Source organism: Homo sapiens, chromosome 4, assembly GCF_000001405.40.
Source record: "Homo sapiens chromosome 4, GRCh38.p14 Primary Assembly".
NCBI classification, from domain to species: domain Eukaryota; kingdom Metazoa; phylum Chordata; class Mammalia; order Primates; family Hominidae; genus Homo; species Homo sapiens.
Window position 1 is genome coordinate 104,373,771 of NC_000004.12, and position 27,341 is coordinate 104,401,111.

Genomic DNA, 27,341 nt, shown 5'->3' on the forward strand with positions numbered 1-27,341 from the left:
AAGGGAGTAGGACTGGGCAGAGGGAGAACTCAAGCTAAGAGGCAGGCTCAATGGCAGCTTTTGCTCACTCCATGGTGCTTCACAAATGTCCTGAGTTGGGTATAAAGGTGGACAAAACTTCAAAGTCATCCATTAATCAGTCATTGGATATAGGCTATCCAAGGAAGGGATTTGGCATTGGGCAAATAGTTTCCCACAGATGAAGCAATCCCTAAAGTGACTGACAGTTGTAGGCTCTCTGCTGGCAGCACTTTCAGAAACTGGGTAAGGGAGTTTAGGGTTGCATACCACAGTTCCTACTACAGTGGTCTTTTTCTCTCAATTCCACACATGTACCATTGCTCTGGCACCACAATACTTTTGCACGTTTCAGTTTTGTTCTATTTGACATCTGAGGTGTAAAGATAATAAGGGATTAATATTGTATGACAAAGAACATCACACTTTGCAGCACACATGTAAAATCAAATATTTAATTCAATTGTCTACAGTTTTAATAAAACTAGTAAACAAAATGAAGTATGCAAAGCAACAGTATAATGGAATTATCTTAGAGACTTACAGAAAAGTTAGATTATTTTTGTTTTTCTTTTTGTTTTTAAACTAGTCAAGTAAAGGGACATAGATAGGAAATGAACATTATATCTTTGGCTATTTCTGTATCTCCACGCTTCCCCTTCCCTCACAAATTCTGAATAAGAACTTGTAAAACACTAAGTATTTATCAATGCAGATGGAGTAAATAAGAAAAAACTGTAAGACAAAAAAGGAGAAAGTTTAATAATTAATGAGTAAAGGTATGTAATAGGAAGGAAAAAATAAAGAATAAAGAGAGCAATATTTTGCTAATCTCAATATTGACCATCAAAACAACAAAGACTAAATATTATTCTGGGTCAAAAGATGTGTATTTTTGAAGGTGATTGCAAAAAGTTGGTGTTGAAATGAAGGAATCAAAATAAATAAACATTGGACTCAGAAAATGTTACTGTTGGAAAGAATTCATGCTATACCTGTTGAAGGAGTCTCAAAGAATGACTATTTGTTATCCCTAAGATTTTGCAAGTTTTTCTGCAAAACAACTCTTATGTTTTAATTTAGAGGTTTTTTTTTCCTGTGCATTGGATGCAGATGTGATTTCAAGATCCCTTAAAATATTTGAGCATCAATATTTTCCATGAAAGCTCTGTAAACTGGGGATTTGTCTGTTGAAATTAAAAAGCCCACCCTAATAGAACATCTATTCTACTGGGGATAATCAGACAATAAATAAGATAAATAAGTAAAAAATAACAACTGTGATGAAGAAAAATACAACAGAAGGGAAACTGGGAAGGTGGGGCAGAATATTAAACAGGTTTTGTAGAGCATCTGTGGGAATGTGACATTAGGTCTTTATTTAAAGACCTAATGCAGATGAGGGAGAAAGTCATGTAGCTATTTGGGGGACAGAGGAAACGGCAAGTGTCTGCTGGGTCCAAAGTACATTAGGGAAAACAGTACAAATAAAATGCCAGAGCACAGAGAAATGCAGTAGAAGATGAGATCAGAGAGGTAAAGGATGGCTAGAGAGTATACTATATTACAAGGCTATCAGAAAAATGTAAGCAATTTGGCTTTTATACTAAGTGAAACGAACAGGTTTTGAAAAAATAAACCCAGAGTAATAAAAGAAATATTGAAATCATGAAATAAGAACAGGAGGTTATTTGAAAAGTAAAATTCAGAGACAATAAAATAATTATTGAAAATTTAAAATATGAACAAAATAATAAAAACTACATGAAAAAGGAAACCATCAACAGAGCGAAGAGACAACTTACAGAATGGAAGAAAATACTTACATCTGATAAGGGGTTAATATTCAAAATATATTTTAAAACATAACTCAATAGCAAAAACATAAGTAATTCAATTTAAAAATGGGTAAGGAACTAGCATAGACATTTCTCAAACAAAGAAATACAAAAGACTAACAGGTATATGAAAAAATGCTCAACATCACTGATCATCAGGCAATTGCAATTAAAACCATAATACCTGTTATAATGGCTCTTATCAAAAGATGAAGTGTTGGCAAGAATGTAGAGAAAAGAGAACCTTTGTATACTGTTGGTAGGAATGTGAATTAATTAATTAATGTTCACCATTATGGTGAACAGTACAGGGGTTGCTAAAAAACAATAATAGAATTACCATATGATCCAGCATTCCTACTTGTGGGTATGTATCCAAAAGATTTGAAATCAGTATGTTGAAGAGATATCTGCACCGTCATGTTAATTGCAGCACTATTTACGATAGCCAAGATATGGAATTAACCTAAGTGTACAAGAAATATACACAGTAAAATACCATTCAGCTATAAAAAAAAGAACAGGAATTGAACTCAGCCCTGCACCAAGCAGACCTAACAGATATCTACAGAACTCTCCACCCCAAATCAACAGAATATACATTCTCCCCAGTACCACACCACACTTATTCCAAAATTGACCCCATAGTTGGAAGTAAAACACTCCTCAGCAAATGTAAAAGAGCAGAAATTATAACAAACTGTCTCTCAGACCACAGTGCAATCAAACTAGAACTCAGGATTAAGAAACTCACTCAAAACCACTCAACTACATGGAAACTGAACAACCTGCTCCTGAATGACTACTGGGTACATAACGAAATGAAGGCAGAAATAAAGATGTTCTTTGAAACCAATGAGAACAAAGACACAACATACCAGAATCTCTGGGACACATTCAAAGCAGTGTCTAGAGGGAAATTTATAGCAAACAAGGCCCACAAGAGAAAGCAGGAAAGATCTAAAATTGACACCCTAACATCACAATTAAAAGAACTAGAGAAGCAAGAGCAAACACATTCAAAAGCTAGCTGAAGGCAAGAAATAACTAAGATCAGAGCAGAACTGAAGGAAATAGAGACACAAAAAACCCTTCAAAAAAATCAATGAATCCAGGAGCTAGTTTTTTGAAAAGATCAACAAAATTGATGGACCACTAGCAAGACTAATAAAGAAGAAAAGAGAGAAGAATCAAACAGATGCCATAAAAAATGATAAAGGGGATATCACCACCAATCCCATAGAAATACAAACTATCATCAGAGAATACTATAAACACCTCTACGCAAATAAACTAGAAAATCTAGAAGAAATGATAAATTCCTCAACACATACACTCTCCCAAGACTAAACCAGGAAGAAGTTGAATCTCTGAATAGACCAATAACAGGCTCTGAAATTCAGGCAATAATTAATAGCTTACCAACCAAAAAAAGTCCAGGACCAGATGGATTCACAGCTGAATTCTACCAGAGGTATTAGGAGGAACTGGTAGCATTCCTTCTGAAATTATTCCAATCAATAGAAAAAGAGGGAATCCTCCCTAACTCATTTTATGAGGCCAGCATCATCCTGATACTAAAGCCTCACAGAGACACAACAAAAAAAGAGAATTTTAGACCAATATCCCTGATGAACATTGATGCAAAAATCCTCAATAAAATACTGGCAAACCGAATCCAGCAGCACATCAAAAAGCTTATCAACCATGATCAAGGGGGCTTCATCCCTGGGATGCAAGTCTGGTTCAACATACGCAAATCAGTAAACATAATACAGCATATAAGCAGAACCAAAGACAAAAACCACATGACTATCTCAATAGATGCAGAAAAGTCCTTTGACAAAATTCAACAGCCCTTCATGCTAAAAACTCTCAATAAATTAGGTATTGATGGGATGTATCTCAAAATAATAAGAGCTATTTATGACAGACCCACAGCCAATATCATACTGAATGGGCAAAAACTGGAAGCATTCCCTTTGAAAACTGGCACAAGACAGGGATGCCCTCTCTCACCACTCCTATTCAACATAGTGTTGGAAGTTCTGGCCAGGGCAATCAGGCAGGAGAAAGAAATAAAGGGTATTCAATTAGGAAAAGAGGAAGTCAAATTGTCCCTGTTTGTAGATGACATGATTGTATATCTAGAAAACCCCATCATCTCAGCCCAAAATCTCCTTAAGCTGATAAGCAACTTCAGCGAAGTCTCAAGATACAAAATCAATCTGCAAAAATCACAAGCATTCTTATACACCAATAACAGACAAACAGAGAGCCAAATCATGAGTGAACTCCCATTCACAATTGCTTCAAAGAGAATACAATACCTAGGAATCCAACTTACAAGGGATGTGAAGGACGTCTTCAAGGAGAACTACAAACCACTGCTCAATGAAATAAAAGAAGATACAAACAAATGGAAGAACATTCCATGCTCATGGATAGGAAGAATCAATATCGTGAAAATGGCCATACTGCCCAAGGTAATTTATAGATTCAATGCCATCCCCATCAAGCTGCCAATGACTTTCTTCACAGAATTGGAAAAAACTACTTTAAATTTCATATGGAACCAAAGAAAGAGCCCCCATTGCCAAGATAATCCTAAGCCAAAAGAATAAAGCTGGAGGCATCACACTACCTGACTTCAAACTATACTACAAGGCTACAGTAACCAAAACAGCATGGTACTGGTACCAAAACAGAGATATAGACCAATGGAAGAAAACAAAGCCCTCAGAAATAATACTACACATATACAACTATCTGATCTTTGAGAAACCTGACAAAAACAAGAAATGGGTAAAGGATTTCGTATTTAACAATGGTGCTGGGAAAACTGGCTAGCTATATGTAAAAAGCTGAAACTGGATCCCTTCCTTACACTTTATACAAAAAATAATTCAAGATGGATTAAAGACTTAAATGTTAGACCTAAAACCATAAAAACCCTAGAAGAAAACCTAGGCAATACCATTCAGGACATAGGCATGGGCAAGGACTTCATGTCTAAAACACCAAAAACAATGGCAACAAAAGCCAAAATTGACAAATGGGATCTAATTAAACTAAAGAACTTCTGCACAGCAAAAGAAACTACCACCAGGGTGAACGTGCAACCTATAGAATGGGAGAAAATTTTTGCAATCTACTCATCTGACAAAGGGCTAATATCCAGAATCTACAAACAATTCAAACAAATTTACAAGAAAAAAAACAACCCCATCAACAAGTGGGTGAAGGATATGAACAGACACTTCTCAAAAGAAGACATTCATGCAGCCAAAAGACACGTGAAAAAATGCTCATCATCACTGGCCATCAGAGAAATGCAAATCGAAACCACAATGAGATACCATCTCACACCAGTTAGAATGGCGATCATTAAAAAGTCAGGAAACAACAGGTGCTGGAGAGGATGTGGAGAAATAGGAACACTTTGACACTGTTGGTGGGACTGTAAACTAGTTCAACCATTGTGGAAGTCAGTGTGGCGATTCCTCAGGGATCTAGAACTAGAAATACCATTTGACCCAGCCATCCTATTACTGGGTATATACCCAAAGGATTATAAATCATGCTGCTATAAAGACACATGCACACGTATGTTTATTGTGGCACTATTCACAATAGCAAAGACTTGGAACCAACCCAAATGTCCAACAATGATAGACTGGATTAAGAAAATGTGGCACATATACACCATGGAATACTATGCAGCCATAAAAAATGATGAGTTCATGTCCTTTGTAGGGACATGGATGAAGCTGGGAACCAGCTATCGCAAGGACAAAAAACCAAACACCGCATGTTCTCACTCATAGGTGGGAATTGAACAATGAGAACACTTGGACACAGGAAGGGGAACATCACACACTGGGGCCTGTTGTGGGGTGGGGGGAGTGGGGAGGGATAGCATTAGGAGATATACCTAATATAAATGATGAGTTAATGGGTGCACCACACCAACATGGCACATGTATATGTATGTAACAAATCTGCATGTTGTGCACATGCACCCTAGAACTTAAAGTATAATAAAAATCTATATATAAAATAAATAAAGAAAGAAAGAACAAAATCCTCTCATTTGTGACAACATGGAGAATATGAGTCCAAAAGTTGAACTCATAGAGGGAGAAAGTAATATGTGGTTACCAAGGGCTTGGGGAAGTAGGGGAATGGGGATGCATGGGTCAAAGGATACAAGTTTTCGGTTAGGAAAAAAAAAACTTCAAGAGATCTTTTGTACAACACGATGACTGTAGTTAAAAACTATGTATTGTATACATAAAAACTTTTAAGAGAGAAGATTTTAATTACATATGTTAATTATCTGGATTTAGCCATTCTACCATGTATACTAATTTCAAAACATCTTGTTGCATACCATAAATATATACAATTTTTGTCAGTGAAAATGTAATAATATACAAATAAATGCAAAAAAAAGTAGAAGTTAAATTTGAAGACATCTCCCTGAATGTAGAACTACCAAGCAAAGAGATGTAAAACTGGAAAGAAGAGATAAACAAACATCATTCTAGAGTCTATTACCTATGTGAGACAAACCAGTTAATAAAAAAGCACAAGAATTGAAGGACATGAGTCTTCAAATCAAAATGACCTACAGATTGCCCAGAGTAAGAAATAAAAAAATACACACAAGCATGCGTGTGTGTATATATGCCTATATATGTGTGTGTGTACACATACACACACATAAATATATTCATATGTATAGAACCAAAGGACAAAATGAAAAAGAATTAGGTGATATATAAAGGATCAGGCAACGGAATAGCATTGGACGTCTTAGCAGCATATCTTGGAGCTAGAAAACAATGGAACATGTGTATTAGTGAGCACAAACTGATTTCTGTAACACACAATTCTCAAATCCCAGCGGCTCAACACATAGTTTTTAATTATTTCTCATGACTTAGACCTATCTGTGATAGTAGTATTTGCGGAGCCTACATCTTCTCATATAGTACTTCTGCTGTCACCTACGGCCTTAGAGTTCACCAACTGCAATTAGGCTGCAATTTAATAAAAGAGGGCAATTTCTGTGGAGGTTGTAAGGACCGGAGCTGGAAATTGCATACATCACTAAAACCCAGCCATGTGTCCCCTACTAGTAAAGAAGGCCAATAGAAAAATGAAGCAGTGTATGTTTTTACCATACAACAAAGTGTATATCTTTGCCATATAATTCCTTCACAATTCTAGGGAAATATGATTTCCAACCTGGGTTCTAACAACTGTAAATCAAGTCTGAAGGTAAAGAGTTCAGCTATGCCAAATCTCAAACTTACCCTCCTTGTGAATTTCTCAGTAAACTTATTAAAGATAATCTAGCGATGAAAAAACCAATCAAGATATAAAATCAGAGTATTCAAGAAAGAAGAATGCAATGAGCCCTATACTTATAGGGAAGGGAGATCTCAAGAAGACAGTGGTATGTGAGGTTTAGCAAGCAACTGGTAAATACAGGAGGACAGGCAGTTTAAGGAGGGATATATCTGAATAAGAAAATGAAATTGAAGATTGGTAGAAAGTATTTAAACTTATTGTTGGGAGATATTTTATTCCTATGGGCAAAATGTTTGGGTCTATATTAGTAATATTTTCATGAAAAACTAAGCAAATCAGAGGATCAATATTAACTGAGAAACAAAGACATGTAAAAAAGATGTGCAATTATGGTAAAGAATATGGCTTAGCTATGAATTAAAATTATGCACTCATAAAAAGTTAAATGCTCAGCATTAGTATAAGCACGTATTATGGTATAACAACAGTGTGATGGATGGGGAAGGGAATGTGCATGCATGAGAAGGTGTTCAATAGAGCTTCATTCTCAAAATCTAAAAACAAATCTAAGTAAAAACATATTATTTAAATACAGAGATAAATATCAGAAGAAACACTTAAAAGTGCTGAACTTTGTGACCTCTGAGAAGAATGTGGGTTTGTTGAGTAGGGAAGAGGCCACTGGATTTTCTTAAGCGCTTTATAAAACTGTAGCTGTAGGGAGGGAAAGACATCCCTTATTGCCAAGTATATGCCATCCCTGCTTTAGAGCTATATGATTTAGGATAAATGCACAAAAGGATTAATATTGCAAGTAAATTGGGAAAAAATACTTGGGAGAAAATTGTTTGACTTCAGTAGATTTTATTTAAAACCGAATGAGTTAAAGTCAATACACAACTCATAAAAGCAAGGTGTGAGAAGTACTTATTTCCTTTACTAGATTATTACACTTTATTACCCAGATTACTAAACAGAGCTCAAAACCATGTATAGGTTACACATACATATAACTAGAAAAGTGGCAAGTAGAAACATTCACATATGAATTATGAGGCACTATGAGAAATGCAGCAAAGTTCAAGGAACTAGTGAAAGAGCTGTGCATAGGAAAGTCAATGTAACAAGAAGGAGAGCAAAGATAGTCATAATAAAGTGTTCTTAGTAGATATGGTAAAACATTTTAAAAAGTTGAAGTGAAAGTGATTTAAGAAGAGAAAGAGGAAAAAAGTAGAGCTAGAATGTCATTCCTAAAAAGCAGCAGTCACTCAGAAGGAGAGGATTTGGACTATTGTGAGTCTAAGTGTGGCTTGCGTGTGTCAGGTTGAAAATATTTTGTTCTCTTGACATTATATCTCAATGCAAGTATCACTAATGTTCTGTTAAAAAAAAAAACGTGATTACCAGCCAGACTGATTTTTTTTTTCAATTTATCACCACAGTAGTCCTCCCTTATCCTCTAGAGACACATTCCAAGACCCCTAGTGGATGCCTGAAATGTAGATAGTGCTGAGCCCAATATATACTGTGCTTTTGCTTATACATGCATACTTACGATAACATGTATACATTAGGCACAGTACGAGATTGACAACAGTAACTAATAATAAAATAAAATTATAACGGTATGCCAGCATCACTGCTCTTGTGCTTTGGAGTCACTGCTAAGCAAAATAAGAGTTATTGAAAAAATGTGGCAAATATACACCATGGAATACTATGCAGCCATAAAAAATGATGAGTTCATGTCCTTTGTAGGGACATGGATGAAATTGGAAATCATCATTCTCAGTAAACTATCGCAAGGACAAAAAACCAAACACCGCATGTTCTCACTCATAGGTGGGAATTGAACAATAAGAACACATGGACACAGGAAGGGGAACATCACACTCTGGGGACTGTTGTGGGGTGGGGGGAGGGGGGAGGGATAGCATTAGGAGATATACCTAATGCTAAATGACGAGTTAATGGGTGCAGCACACCAGCATGGCACATGTATACATATGTCACTAACCTGTACATTGTGCACATGTACCCTAAAACTTAAAGTATAATAATAATAATTTAAAAAAAAACAGAAAAAAAAAAGAAAACAGGTACTGCAATACCTCAACAGTTGAGCTGATAACTGAGATGGCTACCAAATGACTGACTGGCTGGTAGGTTACACAAGGTGAATATGCTGAACGAAGGGATGATTCACGTCCGGGGAGGAACAGAGTGGGATGATGTGATTATTTCACCATGTTACTGAGAACAATGTGACTCTGTTCCTCAATTCGAAGAACGCACACCTATGTGCTTGGCCTGTGACTTTAGTTCCACCTACACTTTATTTCAATTCTTGTGTCTCAACTCAGGCCTTGAAAACAAAGTGCATGAAGAACCTGTGCTTCCAAAGACACTGGCTCATTCTTGACATCAATGTTTCAACTTGTATTAGTCCATTTTCACACTGCTATAAAGAACTCCTTGAGACTGGGTAATTTATAAAGGAAAGCGGTTTAATTGACTCACAGTTCAGCATGGCTGTGGAAACCTCAGGAAACTTACAATCATGGCAGAAGGTAAAGAGGAAACAGGGCACCTTCTTCACAAAAACGGCAGGCAGGAGAAGTGCTGAGTAAAGGAGGGAAGACCCCTTATAAAACCATCAGATCTCGTGAGAACTCTCTCACTATCACAAGAACAGCATGGAGAAAACCGCCCCATCATTCAATTACTTCCACCTGGTCTCTCCCTTGGCAGGTGGGGATAATGGGGATTGTAATTCAAGATGAGATTTGGGTGGAGACACAAAGCCTAACCATTTCAAACTGGTTTCTCTTTCCACCGCACAGATTTTGGCCAAGGTTCTGACCGCTCTAACCCAATCTCTTCATCCATGGGTTCTGAGACAATAAGCAAGGCCTACTTGTCTAAGTTCTGGTCCTTATTAGCCAATATTTCTTTGTCTGCCTCTGTCCCCCACTGGTAATAATATATGTTTATAGAATATGGTATATTATTCACAACTACTGTAAGAACATAATCACAGTGATTATGTCAAAAGATAATAATTCTTAGGAATAAAATAAATACAAAATATTAATTTTTACAATCAATAAAAATATCCAGATTAGAGTGAATAAGAAATAAAGAAAACATGATGTGAATGAAAAAGATGGCTATTATATTTTATGTAAATACGTGTTAAGAATGATTTATAAACTAAACTTGTAAAGAAAAACTAATGTGCTTATCAATGAACACTCTTATTAGGATATTGATTGATGACGATTTAGAACAGACAATTTTAGGAGATTGCTTAGAAACAGACAATTCCATTAAGCAACTTTAATCCTTTGTCTTTTATACATTAATTATGTTTACTTGCTACCAACTTGATGTGGAATATCTTTGTGTAGAGAGTTTTTTTTTTTATTGCTTTATGGAACAGTAAGCCCAAACAGTTGAAAGGCAGCAATTGAAATCATTGTGGAGAAGATTCAATCTTGTAGCAGGGATTGTCAATGCTGCTCAAAAAAGAGATGACGTTTCAGGGTAGAACCTTACCAAAGGTCAAAATGTGGGGGAATAGAGGACAGACACAAAATCACCTCATAAGAGGTTGCTGCTCAAGGGTGAGAGGTTTGGTGAATCAATGTATAAAAGATATTGAAAATCTATAGTTTAAATAGAGTATAAGGAACAGATTTAAAATTAGTAACAGAGGATGAAGAATAAGCTGTGAGCAATAAGGTAGTAATCAATTAAGACTCTTTAGAATAGCCACACTGTGATTATTTTAAAAACAGGATTAACACTATTGTGAGGAAAATGCCAGAAAAAGTAAAATATACCATCAAGACAACAAATTAACTATGAAATAACTCAGGAAAAAAGCATGCTACATTTACAATTACTCCTTAACTCTGGTTTTGAAATGAAATGTTCAAAAGAAAGAATAGCAGATAACTGATCAAAATGTAGATGAGCTGAGACTGCTAATGTAGAAGCAGAATGAAATGAGTATTTTAAAGAATAGTTTTGTGTTTTATATACTTCATTAAATAATATGCTAATAAAATATATAATCAGATATAATGAGTTAAATTATGTAAAGTGCTTTAGAAAGGACAGTGCTACACAAATGCAAAGCACAACATTATCACTTCGAAGTCCTTGTGTTTCAAGACTCAGGTATATACATACAGAACCAATGCTTGATTTTAGTAGTTTTATCTTTCTCTTTTTTTGTAGAGGGGGTGGTAGTTAAAAGAATTAAAATTGGAGGCCTAATTACAGTCCATATCTGAGTATGTATTCTTGAGCAACAGAGTTCAAATTGGCTAAACAGAAGCAAGAACAACTTAGAAGAGAGTTAAAAACCTAAAAATCAGTGAACGAAAGTATATTAGAAAGATTTGCAATATTTGATACCCACTATAGAGTTAAAATCTAAACATATTGATTATTATAGATTATAGAATTTCCCAGAAATCTGTGGAATTAAATTTTTCAACTATTTATAATCACATACACTAATACAGTACCTGGATTATATACCTGGATCTCAGCTTGGACTAGAGAAAACTGTATATCATATAACCATAGTTACTGTTCAATTATGATTGTAATTTTATATCCAAAGACCATCTTAAGTTTAGATATTAATTCCTATAGATTCTTTGAGATTTTCTATAGGCACACAATATACTTGTACTAATGACTGCAAGAAGTCTGATGTGGCTTCCTTTAAAGCCAGTGATCCCACCAGATTATGGCCCATGCTCATGAACTCAATCCTAGTTACCTCCCAAAGGCCCCACCATCTCCAAATATGATCACAAGGGGGTAAGGGCTTTAGCATATGAATTTGAAGGGACACTATTCAGTCTACAGCATGAGCTGAAGGAGAGAAAGATGATACATTCACAGATTTGTGAATCTTAAAGTGGACAAACTCGTAAAAACTGCTGAGTCAAGAAATAAAATATTACCAAAATCCCAGAAGCTCCAATGTGCCTTTTTCAGTCACAGCTGGACTGCCTATCCAAAGACAACCATTATCCCAGTATTTAACACTGTTAGTTTTGCTTATTTTAAAAATTTATATAATGAAATTATATAATACTTATTATTTTGTGTCTAGCTTTTCTTCACTCACAGTAATAGCCTGATATTCATTCATGTTGGTGGTGTAACAATATTTCATTTATTTTCATAGCTGTATAGTAGTCCATTGTGTGAAAATTGCACATTTATTTACCCATTTTATTTTTGGTGGTCATTTATTTTCCAAATTTTTTTTAACTTTCATTTTAAGTTCAGGGTTACAAATGCAGGCTTATTACGTAGGTAAACTTGAGCCATGGGGGTTTGTTGTATAGATTATTTCATCACCCAGGTATTAAGTCTAGGACCAGTTAGTCTTTTTTCTTGATACTCTCCCTCCTCCCAACCTCCACCCTTCGAAAGGCCCCAGTGTGCATTGTTCCCCTCTATGTGTCCATGTGTTCTCATAATTTAGTTCCCACTTATAAAAGACAGCATGCAATATTTGGTTTACTATTACACATAATGTAACTTATGAACATTCTTGTATATATGTTTTGGGGAACAGACATATGCAGTTCTGACAAGTGTATGCATATCAGTAGAATTACCTAGAATATGCATTTTCACATTTGTAGATACCACTGCAGTTTTTCAAAATGATGCTAAATATTTAAGCCCTGTTAGCAATGTCTGAGTTCCAATTATGCTACCTCTTTGTCAATATATGGTATTGTTAGTATAATTTTCACCTTTCTGGTATGTGTGGTGGTGTATCTCACTGTGATTTTAGCTTGCATTTCCCTGAAAACTGATGAAGTTAAATACTTTTTAATGTATTTATTGCTGATTTTTGTATTTGGTTACCTCTTTTTCAGCTTTAATGGTTTTTGGAAGTTCTTTATATATTCCGCATACATGTAATTTATCAGTTATATATATTAAATATTTATTCTTCTGCCCTGTGGCATATTTTTCATTCTTTACATTAAAATAGTATATTTTAATAAACATGATATCTTAATTTTATTATATCTAAATTATCAATATTTTCCTTTAGGGTTGGGAAAAATTGTTTTCTGTTTAAGAAATATTTACCTATGCCAGGGTCAAAAATCTTCTATATGTCATTTTCTAAAAGCTTTATGCTTTATCTTTTATACATTATTCTATAATCCACATGGAATTGATTTTCCTCCTGATGTGAGCAAGAGTCAACATTTATTGTTTTCCCAAAAAGATGTCTCAGTGACCCAGCATCATTTATTGAAAAGACAGTTGTTTTCCTTTCACTTGAAGGCATCACCTTGTTATCAGTCCAGTGTCTTTATACTTGTTGGTCTATTTCTAGACACCCTGTTCTGTGACAGAGGCCATTTATCTGTGCTTCCATCAAGGGTCCCTCATTTTTTAAACACCTGTGGCTTTACAACAATTCCTAATATCTCATAGTGTAAGTCTTAAAATTTTGTTCTACTTCAAGCATGTCTAATTTGTCTTGATTCCCCCTGGCTGTTTGCACTTCTGTATACATTTTGGAATCTTATCGGTTTCTATAAAACAAAACTTTTGGAATTTTTATTGGGATTACATTGACCCTCTGGATCAATTTGGGGAAAATTGACATTTTCTTTCATGGACGTAATATGCCCTTTATATTTAGGCTCTCTTTAATCTCTCAAAAATATTTTGTAGTTTTTTGTGTAGAGAGTTTGTATAAATTTTGTGAGATTATTCTTATTCAATGACCTTTGGTGCTATTGCAATTAATAATAATTTTCTCAATTTTACTTTATAAGTGTTCATTGTTGGTATATAGACATAAAATTAATTTTATTTACTAATTTTATATTTAAAGACCATGTTAAATTTAGATATTAATTCCAATTGATTCTTTGGAATTTTCTACATGCTTTCAATATTAAGAAGACATTTTTATTTCTTCATTTTGAATTCTTATACCATTCTTTTTCATGATATGTTGCACTGACTACATCTCAAGTACATATTTGAAGTGGAGATGGTGGATATATTGATCTTATTCTGGATTTAGATGGAAAGCTTACTGTAATTTTTTGTATGCTCCTAAAGAAAATTTCTACTTCTACTTTACTAATCGTTTTATGGTAGCTGTCTTTCTCTGCATCTTTTGAGATAAACACATGATATTTCTCTTTTGCTCTGTTAGTCTGATGCACTACCTTGATGGGTTAACAATTGTCCAACTTTGCATTCATATAAAACAAAACCTAGTTGGTTTTTTTTAAGAACTCTTTTTAAGAATTTTATTTAAAGAGATTGGTATATGCACTTTTCCCCATTCTTATAAAAGATTGTTGACTTTATAAAATAAATTGGGAATTACTCCTTCTTTGCTTTTCTTTGGAATATTTCATATAGGATTACATTACTTTTTCTGAATGATTTGTAGAATTCATTGTTGAATGGAACACATTCTGTAGCTTTAATAGGAAGAAGGTTCTCATTTAGAGATCTGACGAATTTAACAGATATAGGGCCATCACTTTTCTTTTGTAGATCTTGTGTCAGTTTTGATATATTGTCAAGGCCTTTTATTACTGGAAATATGTGAATTTCATATGAATTTTTCATTTTTTGAATAAGTTGTTTTCAACATATTCTTATTATTATTAGAAATCTGTAGTTAGAGTCTTAGTTTTAATATCTGTATAGGCTTAGTGGTGTCTTCTTTATCATTCATGATAGGCTAATTTGTTCCCTTTCCCCTCCTCCTTTCTGGTCAGGCTACACAGGTTTATCAGTTTTATTGACATTTCATAGAACCAGTTTAGACTTTCATCATCTCTGTGTTGTTTTTCTTATTAACGTTTAGTGTTATCTTTATTTCCTCCTACTACCTTTGTGTTTAATTTGGTGCTGCTTTCTAACTTGAGATGAATAATTTTAGGAGCCTCTTGGTAATATAAGTAGTGTTTTTAAAATATGATCATTTTATAATTATAAAATGTGCAATGTATTTTTACCATGTATGCTTTTTATTTGCATCTCACTAGTTTTGATATGCCATTTTTTATTACCAATCAGCTCAAACTGTTTTCTAATTTACTTTTTAATTTCATTGGCCCAAGGGTTATGTACTAGATTGTTGCTTAACTTCAAAATATGTGTAGATTTTATTTATTATTGATTTTTATGTTAATTCTACTATAGACAGAGCACATTATGTATGATTTCCTATTTTGATTATTTTTGAGACTTGCTTTATTGCACAACGTATTTTACATTTTGATAAACACTCCATATGCCCTTGAAAACAATAGATATTGTATATTCTGTGGTTGAGTGAGTTTGACAGAAAGATAGTTCAATGGATGGATGAATGGGTGGACAAACAGATAGACAGCAGACATCAATTAAGTAGTTTATAATTGTGTGGTTCAAACATTCACATTCTTATTTATGGATAGACAGGTTTGTTCTGTCAGTTAATGAGAGAAGTGTTAAAATATATATTTATAAATATTCCCTTTTACTTCTACCAGTTTTAGCTTTATGTACATGGAGCTATGCTAGTAGGTACATAAAAATGTACAACTATTATTTCATCTTCCAGTTTTTCTTCTTAATAATTATGAAATATCCCTTTTTATATTAACTGATGCTTTTTTATTTTAAAATCAATTCCACTAGTTTTCTTCTGGTGTTTATATGATATGCTTTTTTTTCATCTTTTTTCTTTCAAAATTCTATATACTTATATTCATGTAATATATAACACACATATTTACATTTGTATATCCTGTATTTATTTACTTATTTATAGCAATTTAAGTGGTATAAAAAATTTCTCTTTCTTTTACTTTGATAATCTAGGTTTTTAGAGAAAGGATTGGGAATTTTTTTTTATAAAAGGCAAGATTATTTTTTATTTTGTGGGCCATATCTATTGTGTGTCACAGCTACTCAACACTGCCATTGTAGTCCAAAAGCAGCCATAGACAGAAATAAATGAGTGTAACTGTGTTTCAATAAAACTTTATCCATATTTTAAAAAACAGATTAAGGTTATAGTTTTCCAAACCTTTTTAATCTATACTAATTGTATTAGTTTTTATTTTGAGGTTTAAACCTGCCATCTTCTTATTTGTTTTTGTTGATCCTGCTTATTATATATTTCTTTTTCTTTTTTCTTTTTTGATTAAGCATTTTTTATCATCTAGTTTTAGCACTATACATTCTTTTTGAAATCTTTAAATTATTTTGTTAGAAATTATACATCCTCATGATTTCCTAGGATTTTAAGTAAATTAGTTCTCTGTTACTTTCTGGAGGATCTTAGAACGCTCTTTATTCACCTCCTGCCTCTTGTGTTGCTTATGGCCATGGATATTAATTTTATGTATTTTTTCTTCATATGTCATTATTATTTTTATGCCTTCATAATTCATATTTAACCAAATATTATTTTATCCCTTACCTTTTCTCTACATTACTTTACAAAGTTCCATGCTTTCATATTGTAAAAATTTTATTTAGCCTACATAACTTTCTTTAGTTTTGGTGCAAGTAACTGGAAGGGTGAGGGGAGAAGTGGCATAGGATATTGATACATTTTATTTTTATTTTAATTGAAAAATGAAACAAAAAAATGAAAATCATGGAAAATTCCATTTTCTTTTTTATCTATACCTCTAACATTCTGGTTAATGATGGCTTCAATTTTTTTTTTATTTTGCTCAAATTTTATACTTTTTTGTGGTAAAGTTGATCTGCATCAAGAAAATATGGCATAACCCAAATAATTTTTTTCTTTGTATTTCCATATCATCTATGTTTGCCCATTAAACGCTGATGGAGAAAAGGAGATTGACAGCAGTATATTCTCTCTTATATCCTAAAAACACTAAAATTAGTGGAAGTAACATGCATTGCAGGTTATTTTTTGCTGATTTTTTGATAGCAGGATCCTGGATTCCTATTTATGTTCAGGTCTTGTAGTTTTTATGTAAGCTCTCCTGATTTTCTCCCATTATACTCTTTTAAATTGATATGCTTTAAAGTTTTCTTCCACAGTCACACTCATCCAAACAAATAGGCACTTTGACCATATACAGTCTTATTGGGTTATTAGATTGCTTATATGGCCACTTAGTCATAATTTCAAACGCCTGTAACTCCATTTTGCAAAGCAGACCAAATTATTTCAATCATCATTTATCAGTATAAGTTCATATATTCTGCTAGGAAGTCTTTAAACTACAAAACATTAAGAAATAAGTCTTTTCTTAATCTCATGTTTTCTATAAATTATATTGATTTTTAAAAATTTAATATAAACATTTTATAACTAAGACTCTTGTTTTCTAGCCATGTTATTTTTTATTTTACTTTATAATTGCAAAATATGTCATGGATTTCTTTTGTATAAAATAAAAATAGTAAATTTTTTCATAATATTTCTTTCATTAAACACAGGTTTAGAGTCATTTATTCTCAATTTCATCTAATAAAATAAAAATAGGATATTACGCTAATGTTATTATCTTTCATATGAATATTCCAAAGTCTTTTACCATGTTTCTATAGGAAGTATTTAGAAGCACAGGTAAAGTGATTTAACTTTCTTAGGACTATGTAGTCCAGGCAACATAATACAGTTTAATTTGCAGATCAATCAGTTCATTCATTAATCAATGTGCACTGTATCCATGTTGGTTAAGGCAGTGGCTCTTAACCAGAAGAATGCACCAGATTTTCTTGGGATGGCTTTTAAACAAGTACACCCAGGGACCTAAACCCTAAGATACCTTGTAAACAAATGCACCCAGGGACCCAACCTGTAAAGTATAGCAATTTGGAAGTAGACTATTAAAAAGCTCCACAAATTATTGTGATGCACATTCTTACTCAAGAAATCCTGCTTTAGCCATTGAAGGATAAAAAGGAAACAGACTTTGACACAATAAAATCGAAAAAAAAACATTTAAAAATATATAAAATAATATGTAATAAAATGTGGAATGTTCTGGTTCTGTGTGGGATAGAAATACTTCATTAGAAAGATTAGACTTAATCTGTACTTTCAAAAGTAGGTTGGAGCCAGGTGCGGTGGCTCACACCTGTACTCCCAGCACTTTGGGAGGCTGAGATGGGCGGATCATTTGAGGTCTGGAGTTCGAGACCAGCCTGACCAACATGATGAAACCCCATCTCTACTAAAAAAAAAAAAAAAAAAAAAAATTGCGAGGCGTGGTGGCGCATGCCTATAGTCTCAGCTACATGGGAGGCTGAGGCAGGAGAATCGCTTGAACCTGGGAGGCGGAGGGTTGCAGTGAGCCAAGATCACGCCACTGCACTCCAACCTGGGTAACAGAGCGAGACCCTGTCTCAGGAGAAAAAAAAAAAAAAACAAAAAACAGTATGTTGGCTTTTCAGAGCTGGCAGAAATACATGGAAAGAGAAAAAATATATAATATGAGCAAAAGCACAGAGGCAAACATAATTACTGTGTGGGAATCAGCAAAGAACAAACTGGTCACCTGAAAGTACGTTCCATGACTCTAGAAATGGTTTCTGTCTTACTCACTGCTTTATATACATTACTATTACCTGTCCAACAAATGTGAATGAATGAATAAACCAATCAATCTGTCAATAATGAGCATGGCATGTTCTTACAATAGAGTGGTGGGAAATAGGTACATACACATTTAGAACAAAATCCAATTATGGATGATTTTCAGAGCCAGTAAAGAAGGTAAGGCAGGGACCCATAAAATGAAGAGAATATTTGAGCTAGAGTCATTAGGGTATCATAACGACACGTATTAGAGAGGTTCTGCATTTGAAAGAAGAGAAGCCAGTTGAAAATGTGTTTCAGTAATACAGGTACGTAATAATCAAGGTCTTACATTATTTTCATAAAATTATGCATAGTGCTAAAAATAAGTCCTATTAGGAGAGTTCAAATATTATAAAACTTTTTGACTATTCGTGTTTAATACCGCATTTTAGCTAATTTGATGATTTGTTGTCCTTAAGTTGCACTTGTCTTTATTTCCTTTTCTACTCTCTTCTTCATTCTCTCATCTCTCTCCCTTTACTCTTGAACTTTTATATTTTCTCTGTCAAAGTATGTAGCTTAAAAATTAAATACTAGAAAATTCCAGTTGCTGAGATTGTGATTATAATTGGTTACATTCTAGTTGCACAACTTCAATAAGCTTAATTTATACTTTAATAATATTTTATAATGGATTTACCCTAGAATAATGTTAGAAGAATAAAAATGAAATTAACAAAAAGTTGCTTTTGATCAGCACAAGATGTTAATATTCTTAGATATTGTCTTGATATATAATGTTTATATTATAGTTAAGGTAGTGTAGGTAAATGCCAGAAATTTATTGTCTGTTATTTGAAAGTTAAAAAAAAAGCCTAGACAATATTTCACAACTTTGTTCATATTTTATAGACTGTTACTTTCTTCACTCATGCCTTATTAATTTCCCATTAAAACTCTAACTCTTAGGAATATGATTTAATATATATCTGTAGAATACAGGTATTTCACAAGTTAAGAATATGTGAAGTGATGATCAGGCAGTTATACAGCATCTGACAGTATATAGAATTAAAGCTGAGTCAGAAGCCAAAAAACATAATTAGGAGAATTGCTGGGATTACAAAAAAATAGGAAAGAAATCTAAGCCACAGATTAGCTTCAGTCCCACAATTACCTGAAACAAGACTGATGAAATTATCAGGAGAAAATAAAATATAAATCCATTTTCATGGATAATTTGATATTCAAAGTAGTCACTTTCACTCTTTCAGGCCATTGGGAGAATGATGCAACCAATTTAATGAATTACTACCCACGTTAACAGCCTAAAGGGGTGGGGGAGGATATATTTCCTCTGTTTCATATTACCAGGAAGTTTTAGCTACAATGAAAATCTATGTAGCAGGAGAACAGAAAACATATTTTTATGGTTTACGTAGGCTGGAAGCAACAAGAAGAACTTTTTTCTGAAGAAAGCAAAAAAAAAAATTGATGCCATATGCAGAAATTATTGCTGGAGTTTAATGGACTGAGATGGCCTTAGGAAGGAGGAAAAAATGACTATTAACTGTTTCTAATGATTCAAAACAACAGCTACCTCTACAAAAATTGTACTCTACCACTGCTCACTAAATACGCTCCTCACCATCACCACTCCCCATCATGCTTGTGCTGACAACATCCATGAATTAAACAATTGACATTTTAAAAAAAACCCATGGTTACCTGAAAGCTGAGGTTTCTGTCTTCCTATGCCAATGTTCCTAGTTTTGGATGAGATGAGGAAAAATACAGTTGTGCATGTAAAAGTTACGTTCGCTTGAATGTTTGCATATTTTACATTTGAGTGCAGGCATCTATCAAGGATGCAAACCAAAGTGAAGCAAAAAGAGTATTTAAATCACGCGTGGATCTTAGAGACAGAGAGAGACATCTACTGGTCCATTTACTACCAATCCCAAGCGCCTCCCCCTCCACTGTAATTAATGTAACGTTTTCTCTCTTTACAGCTGACAGCCAAGAGCATAATTAGAGTCTAATAAAACACAGAAAAGTCACAAATGCAAAGTGGAATAAACAGTAAACAGTGAGGGAAGAGAAGATCCCGGAGTGTGATGGCTGGGTAATGTCTTAGATAAACTGTGTGCACATTGACACTGTCACGCTCTCGGCAGCCCCAAGTGTGCTGGTAGCCTGGTGCAGACAGACAGCTCGAATTAATCCCAAGAGAAGCGCATGACAGGCGAGTGAAGCAGACAATTAGAATGAAGGAGGAAATTGGAAATGGCAAAGGTGTGAACATATGTCAAATTACAACTAAATGATAAATTACAATTCTGTCATTGGAATAAGCGGTAATTAAGAAAGATTTCAGCTATCCTTCTTGAAAAAAAATAAGAGAGAACCACGTTTTTCCCCTCAGTTTAGATTTGTTTGCTGAATTGTTTCCATCCATCTCACACATGGTGCTGTATCTTCCTGACTTTGGAGCTGCATTATTTGTGTACATTAAGGATAATTCTTTTCTTTCCTCTTCTCCATTTTCCAGACTGGCAGAATAATAGTGTTAAAATGAAGAGGAAGCTGATAGTATCTGATATAAAAACCTGCAATGAGATTTAAAAAAAAAATAAAAAAAGAGAGGTTTGCTGCTGAAGCTGCTGCGGCACTCTAATTATTTTAAACAAGCACTGCACAGTCCAGCTGACAATTAGGAAAGCCTGCTCTATGGCTTGGGGGAGTCATATGAAACCTCATAATCACTGTATACACGTCCTTTTCGTTTAGACAGTAATGAATGTGGGTGGGGTTTCTTGGCAGTTTTTGGCCACTTAACCACAATTTAAAACAGCTGTGTAATTATCATGAGTTTTTGAATCCAACATCGAATTCCAATTTAGAGTTTGTAACACCTGTGGTTTGTTACAACCACTAGGACTAAGGCAGGGGAATGACAGAAGCAAAAGTGCAGTGCTGGCAAAAACCACCCTGGAGAGGGCATGTTGTTGTCCCATGGGGCTGCTGCATGCCAAGACACAGACGAGGCAGGAATCTTCACAGTGGCAAATCTCACATGTAAACATAAGGTGCTGTGTGCAGGAAGGTTTTCTTCAGCAAAGTCAAGACAGGATATTCTGGTCTTGAATTCTTAAAAAAGTGGACATTTCTGACATATAACCCTTGCAAACTCTATTTTTTAAAAAAGTAAAAAAAAAAAAATGCCAGTGGAAAGGGCTATACAGGTCCTGAACCCAAGATGACGATTTGAATATTTAGCACATTTCAAAAGAGATAGAATTATTATTTGGTTAATACTTAATCATTAATTTTATAAATGCAACAACAATAACAGTAGTAATAATAATTTATGTGAGGATTTAGACTGAAATAAAATTTTTTGATAGGTAAGCAAAACATCCACCACATATCATTTTAATATTTATAAGATAAGCTAAATATTTTTTGCATTATATATTTTTGCAAGTGTATGTAACATTAAATAGCTATAGTTCAACCTTTACAGAATAGTGACTAAATACAAATATATAGTATTGAAAAAAAGATTGAAATAGTGAAAACTTAGAACATACGCGAATATTTACATCTTTTTTTTTTCACCCTTCCTCTAGGGCAAAAAGGAGGCAAATATCTAAAAAGCTAAATAAAATTCTCTAACAGAGAGGTCAGAAGCTCCAATGATCTTCTGAGATAAGTCAATTTCCAGCAGCTGTGGCCAGATATTGTAGTTCAAGGCCTTGAAAGCTTAATTGGGGAAGCATGTTAAAAGTTAAAGGGCCAGAATCATGTTAATTACATGAGGTTTTCCTTGTAGAAAATCTGCCCAACACAATGCTACCCTCTCTCTTCTGTAGATAAGGGTATGCTTCACCACATTTCTGTAATTTGACAAGGTTTATTTTAAAAGCAATATATTTAGAGTCATCTGTATGCTTCACAAGTAACAGAGCCTAATGTGTTCATTCATTGCATTCCTAGTACAACTTGGGTTAAGAAGCCACAGACATTGCATGCCAGAACTTTAGAAAGATCCAAATATGGAACAAATTGCAATCTGAGTTTCAAATCTTTCTTCTTTGAGGAAGTAAGGTGTGAGAAGAAAAAAGGCAGAATGATAATTGTTGTTCCAATACTGTTTACACCCAGAAATAGAAGTTCTCTTATGGAAACTTGAATATAGGAGAGTAGCCAAAAAAAACTTGGAATTTTACTTTAAATGGAGAAAAATATTCATAAAATATAATCTGATAGAATAATTATTATACATTTGTTACTATAACAAAGTAAATAGTAGTCTGTATAATAAAAGTTACATGTAGATTGATGTCAATCTTCAGATTTTACACTTTGTATATAGAGAGAAAGGCAAATCCGGAAGGAGCATTAGCAATCATTTTTTCCAACCATATAATGTTCCTCATTCAATTTATTTTCATAATACAATCAGTATGTGTCTATTAAAATTAAAGAGGTTAAATAGCCTTCTTCAAAGTTAATGGCAAAGTATTAACTCTATCCACAAAATAATGCTGGTTATAAAGTTGATTTCTGTAATTTACGTGTTTTAATAGCAAGTTAAATCCTGTATTTGCCACATCTGTTAACTTTCCAAAGAGCAGCCACTGTTTTAAACACCACAGGGGCTGTACAAATAATTTTGTTGAAAAGAAACATTGTTATACTACATGTTCCCTTAATATAGGCTTTGGATATAAATGTAATATCAGAAACCACTTTTTTTATAAAGATTCTCAACCTTTATTATACTTGAGATTTGGATGGACTCCCCAGAAATCTGCATTTTGGACAAACATTCTAAGTGGCTTTCATGCAGATTTAGGCTCTACCCCAAGCTCCCACTGGGCTGAGGCCCAAAAAAGTTGTGAATTCTAGAGCAGGATAACTAGGAATAGAGACCAGTCTTCTGACTTTCTGTCAAGTTTTCTTCTTATAAAAATTATATGCTTGATCAGATTACTGATATATGCATTATAGTGGACATACTGTTTCTAATTTATATGTTCAATTACATTCCTAAAATAATTAAAATTTGATAATGATGATTATTCTAAGTACGTTATTTCCAGTATAAATTTCAATGTCAGGGCTTTTACAGTTAGAGACATGTGTGAAGAGTGATAAGCAAAGCACTAACTGATTTTAGTATATATAGAATACTGAAGAATAGGAAAATATGAAATTGTGTAGGGAAATATTAAGAATTAGATCAAAAGTATCCATAGTCTATAATGTCATTCAAATATATAGTTTTCTTTTAATATTACACCCTTTTACTGTTTAAACTCTCCCTATACAGTTGTTGGCACAGTTGCATACTTAATGGTTATATATTCAAGTAATGACATTTCAGATGTATAAATTCACTCTGAATATATTCTGAATGCTATGTTGAAATATTATTAAGTGGCCAACAGCCAATGACATAAACTTGATGAAATATTCTAGAAGTCTAATCTCAGCAGAAATGAATGGAGTCTTATTGAAAAATTTAAGAATGCTTTGCAAAGCATTGATGTATATCCACTTTCAGTCTTAACAAAATAACTGGTACTGGACTTGCCCTCTCACCAAAAAAAAAAAAAAAAAACAGGAAAAAACTTTAAAAAGTAGGAAAAAATATGTGTAGCGACTATTTTCCGGTGTTAAACAATAGGCAATGTAATACTGTGAACTTTGAGGTAGTTTCTGCAATCTCACGAGCTTCTGACTGGGAATATTTACTGTTCTGGTGCACAGGGAAGTGAAGCCCAAACTGAGTAACAATTTTGTTGCACTGAGGATGCAGGGATGAGAGTTCAAATCAGTAAAAATGGCTAGAATTTTTGAGCAGAATACTGGATAAGAAGGAGGAGCATAGAGTTAGAAAATAGAAGTCTGCATAGAGATTCAAAACATGGGCCTTGGCTAAGGGCTGGCCTGGATATACAGAGTGAAACTCCACAGTGCCTGTAGGTAATCATTTGATGTTTGGCTGACTGCTGAATGTGACACCAGAAGTTACAGTCAGCCTAAGAGTCTTTGCTGAACGACTTGGCTATTTAGCAGAGATGTGGAAAGCCTAGACTTTGGGTGTAAGAAAAAAACCTAGAGCAATATTCAAAACTGATATAGAGCCATCAAAATAAAGATTAAACAAAAAAAAAAGTACAGGACAAAAAAGATTTTCCAGTTTATCTAACTGCCTGCCATAATAAAACCTAACACACACACAGACACACACACAAAGGCATACTCTAGAGAAAAGTTGAGTAAACTTTACTACACAGGCAAACCACCAGTTTTTGTAAAGTTTTATTAGAACATAGCCACATCTGTTTGTTTAATTATTTTTTGTTGCTTATTTTCTATTGTAACAGCAGAGTCAGGTAGTTACTGCAGAGAGCATCTAACACACAAGCTAAAATATTTACTATCTGGCTCTTTAAGAAATGTTCTATGTTTTTAAACATAGAGCTAGACTCACTACAATGCATTACCGCAATGTCTAACATACAATAAAAACATTACTAGACATGAAAATGAAAAAGAATGTGTCTAAAACTAACAAAAAAAAAAGTAGTCTACAGAAATGAAGCCTGAAATGACCCAAAGGTTGAATTATGGAACTTATAAACAATTTTTATGCATATGTACAAAAGCTTGAAGAAAAAGACCATTATAATGAATCTCAGCAGATAAATGGAAACTATTTTTAAAAGAGCTCATTGACAACTATCAAACCAAAAAGCACAATATTTGAAGTGACATATCCACTGGGTGACTTAACAGAAAATGAAAGCCTGAAGAATTACTGAGCTTAAAAACACATGAATAGAAATTCATCAATATGGAAAAAAGGCAGAAAATAGATAGAAAAATATTTAAGAGAACTTGAAGGACCAGTGGAACAAGATCAAGCAATCTAACATACTTGTAATTCAAATAGCAGAGGGAGAGGATAAAATAGAACAGAAAATATATTTAAAACATATAAAGTATAATGGTTGAAAAATTTCCAAATTCGTGAAAAAAAAAAAGAAAACATCAACTGACAGATCAAAGAACTTCTATAAAACCTAAACAAGGTAAATGCCTAGACAAGCACACTTAAGAAAATTATAGTAAAACAAATAGAAGCTGGAGGAAAATAATAAAAGCAGTCATGGAAAAAAGAGACAAATTATGCAATGGATAACAATAGTGCTAATAATAGCAGACATTGTCCTAGAGACAATAGAGGCTAGAAGGCAATGATCAAACAGCTTTAAAGTATTAAAATTAAAAATAACTTTTGGGTCATATTTTATATGCAGCAAAATGTCCTTCAAAAAATAAGGCCAAATTTTCACATAACAAAAGCTAAGAACATTAGTCACCAGTACAGCTACACTATAAAAAAATAAATAAAGAAAATTATTCAATTTAAAGGGAAACCACACTAAATGAAACTTTGATCTACAGGAAGAAATAAGAAATATTGGGAATAGTAAATATATGGAGAATATAAAATATTACCTTTTATGTCTTAATTTAATGCAAAAACAATAAATTAACATAAAAATAACATTACACTTTGTTATTAATGAAATCTATAGATATATTATTTAGTTTTCATAAAATATGTGGAGATATGTAGCTGAAAGATAGAGGATAAATAGAATCAAAATGCACATCATAATAGAATATGTAGTGAAATATAATAAAATGTTCTTAGCACTAAAAATACTGTACTAAATTAAGGTTTTTTTATTTCCAGAAAAAAAGTAAAATGATAATACTAAGATAAAAGACAATAGAGAAATTAAAACAGAATACTAAACAATTTTATCAACCAAAAGAGACAGTAAGTGAAAAATTGAAAAAAAATCAGATGGACAACTAGAAAATAAATAGTAAGGGGATAAACCTAATCCAAAAAAAAATGAACAATTATATTAAAGATAAATGGACTGTATTCTCCAATTAAAAGGTTTGTCAAGATATTTTGAAAGACCCAACTATATGCTTTGTACAAGTAATGTATCAAATACAAATACACAGATAGGTTGAAAGTAAACTTGTGGAAGCGTATAAACTATGCAAATAGTATGCACAAGAAAAATAAGAGTTGCTATATTAATGCCATGTAAAGTAGACTATAGGACAAAAAATATTACCAGAGGTGAATAGGAAACATCTCATTAAAAGTTCAACCCATAAGAAAGAATCTAACATTTCTAACTGTATATAAACTCAGTAACAATGCTTCCAAATCCCTGAAGGGAAAAAAATTACAGAACTAAATGGAGAAATAGGCAAATCCACAAACACAGTTAGAGGTTTTAACACCACTGCCTTTGTAATTGATTAAAAAAGTAAGCAACATCATTAACAATATAGGAGATTTGAACAACACCATCAACAATTTGACTTAATTAATCTTTCTGAAACATTACAGTCTATAAATTCAGAATATGTATATTTTTAAGTGCACATGGAGTGCTCTACATGATAGACCATATCCTGGCTCATAAAATAGCAACAATAAATTTCAACACAAGTAGATCTTATAGAATATATTT

General features: G+C 33.3%; 1 long non-coding RNA gene across 1 annotated transcript in view; it reads right to left on the reverse strand.

The window, feature by feature from the left end:
• The window catches only part of LOC105377350 (uncharacterized), a 114,309-nt gene extending 93,668 nt beyond the window's left edge, over positions 1 to 20,641 (reverse strand). The window contains exon 1 of the long non-coding RNA XR_939033.3: positions 20,488 to 20,641. This is a non-coding gene — a long non-coding RNA (uncharacterized LOC105377350). The remainder of the gene's footprint in view (positions 1 to 20,487) is intronic.
• Between the last annotated feature and the right edge of the window lie 6,700 nt (positions 20,642 to 27,341).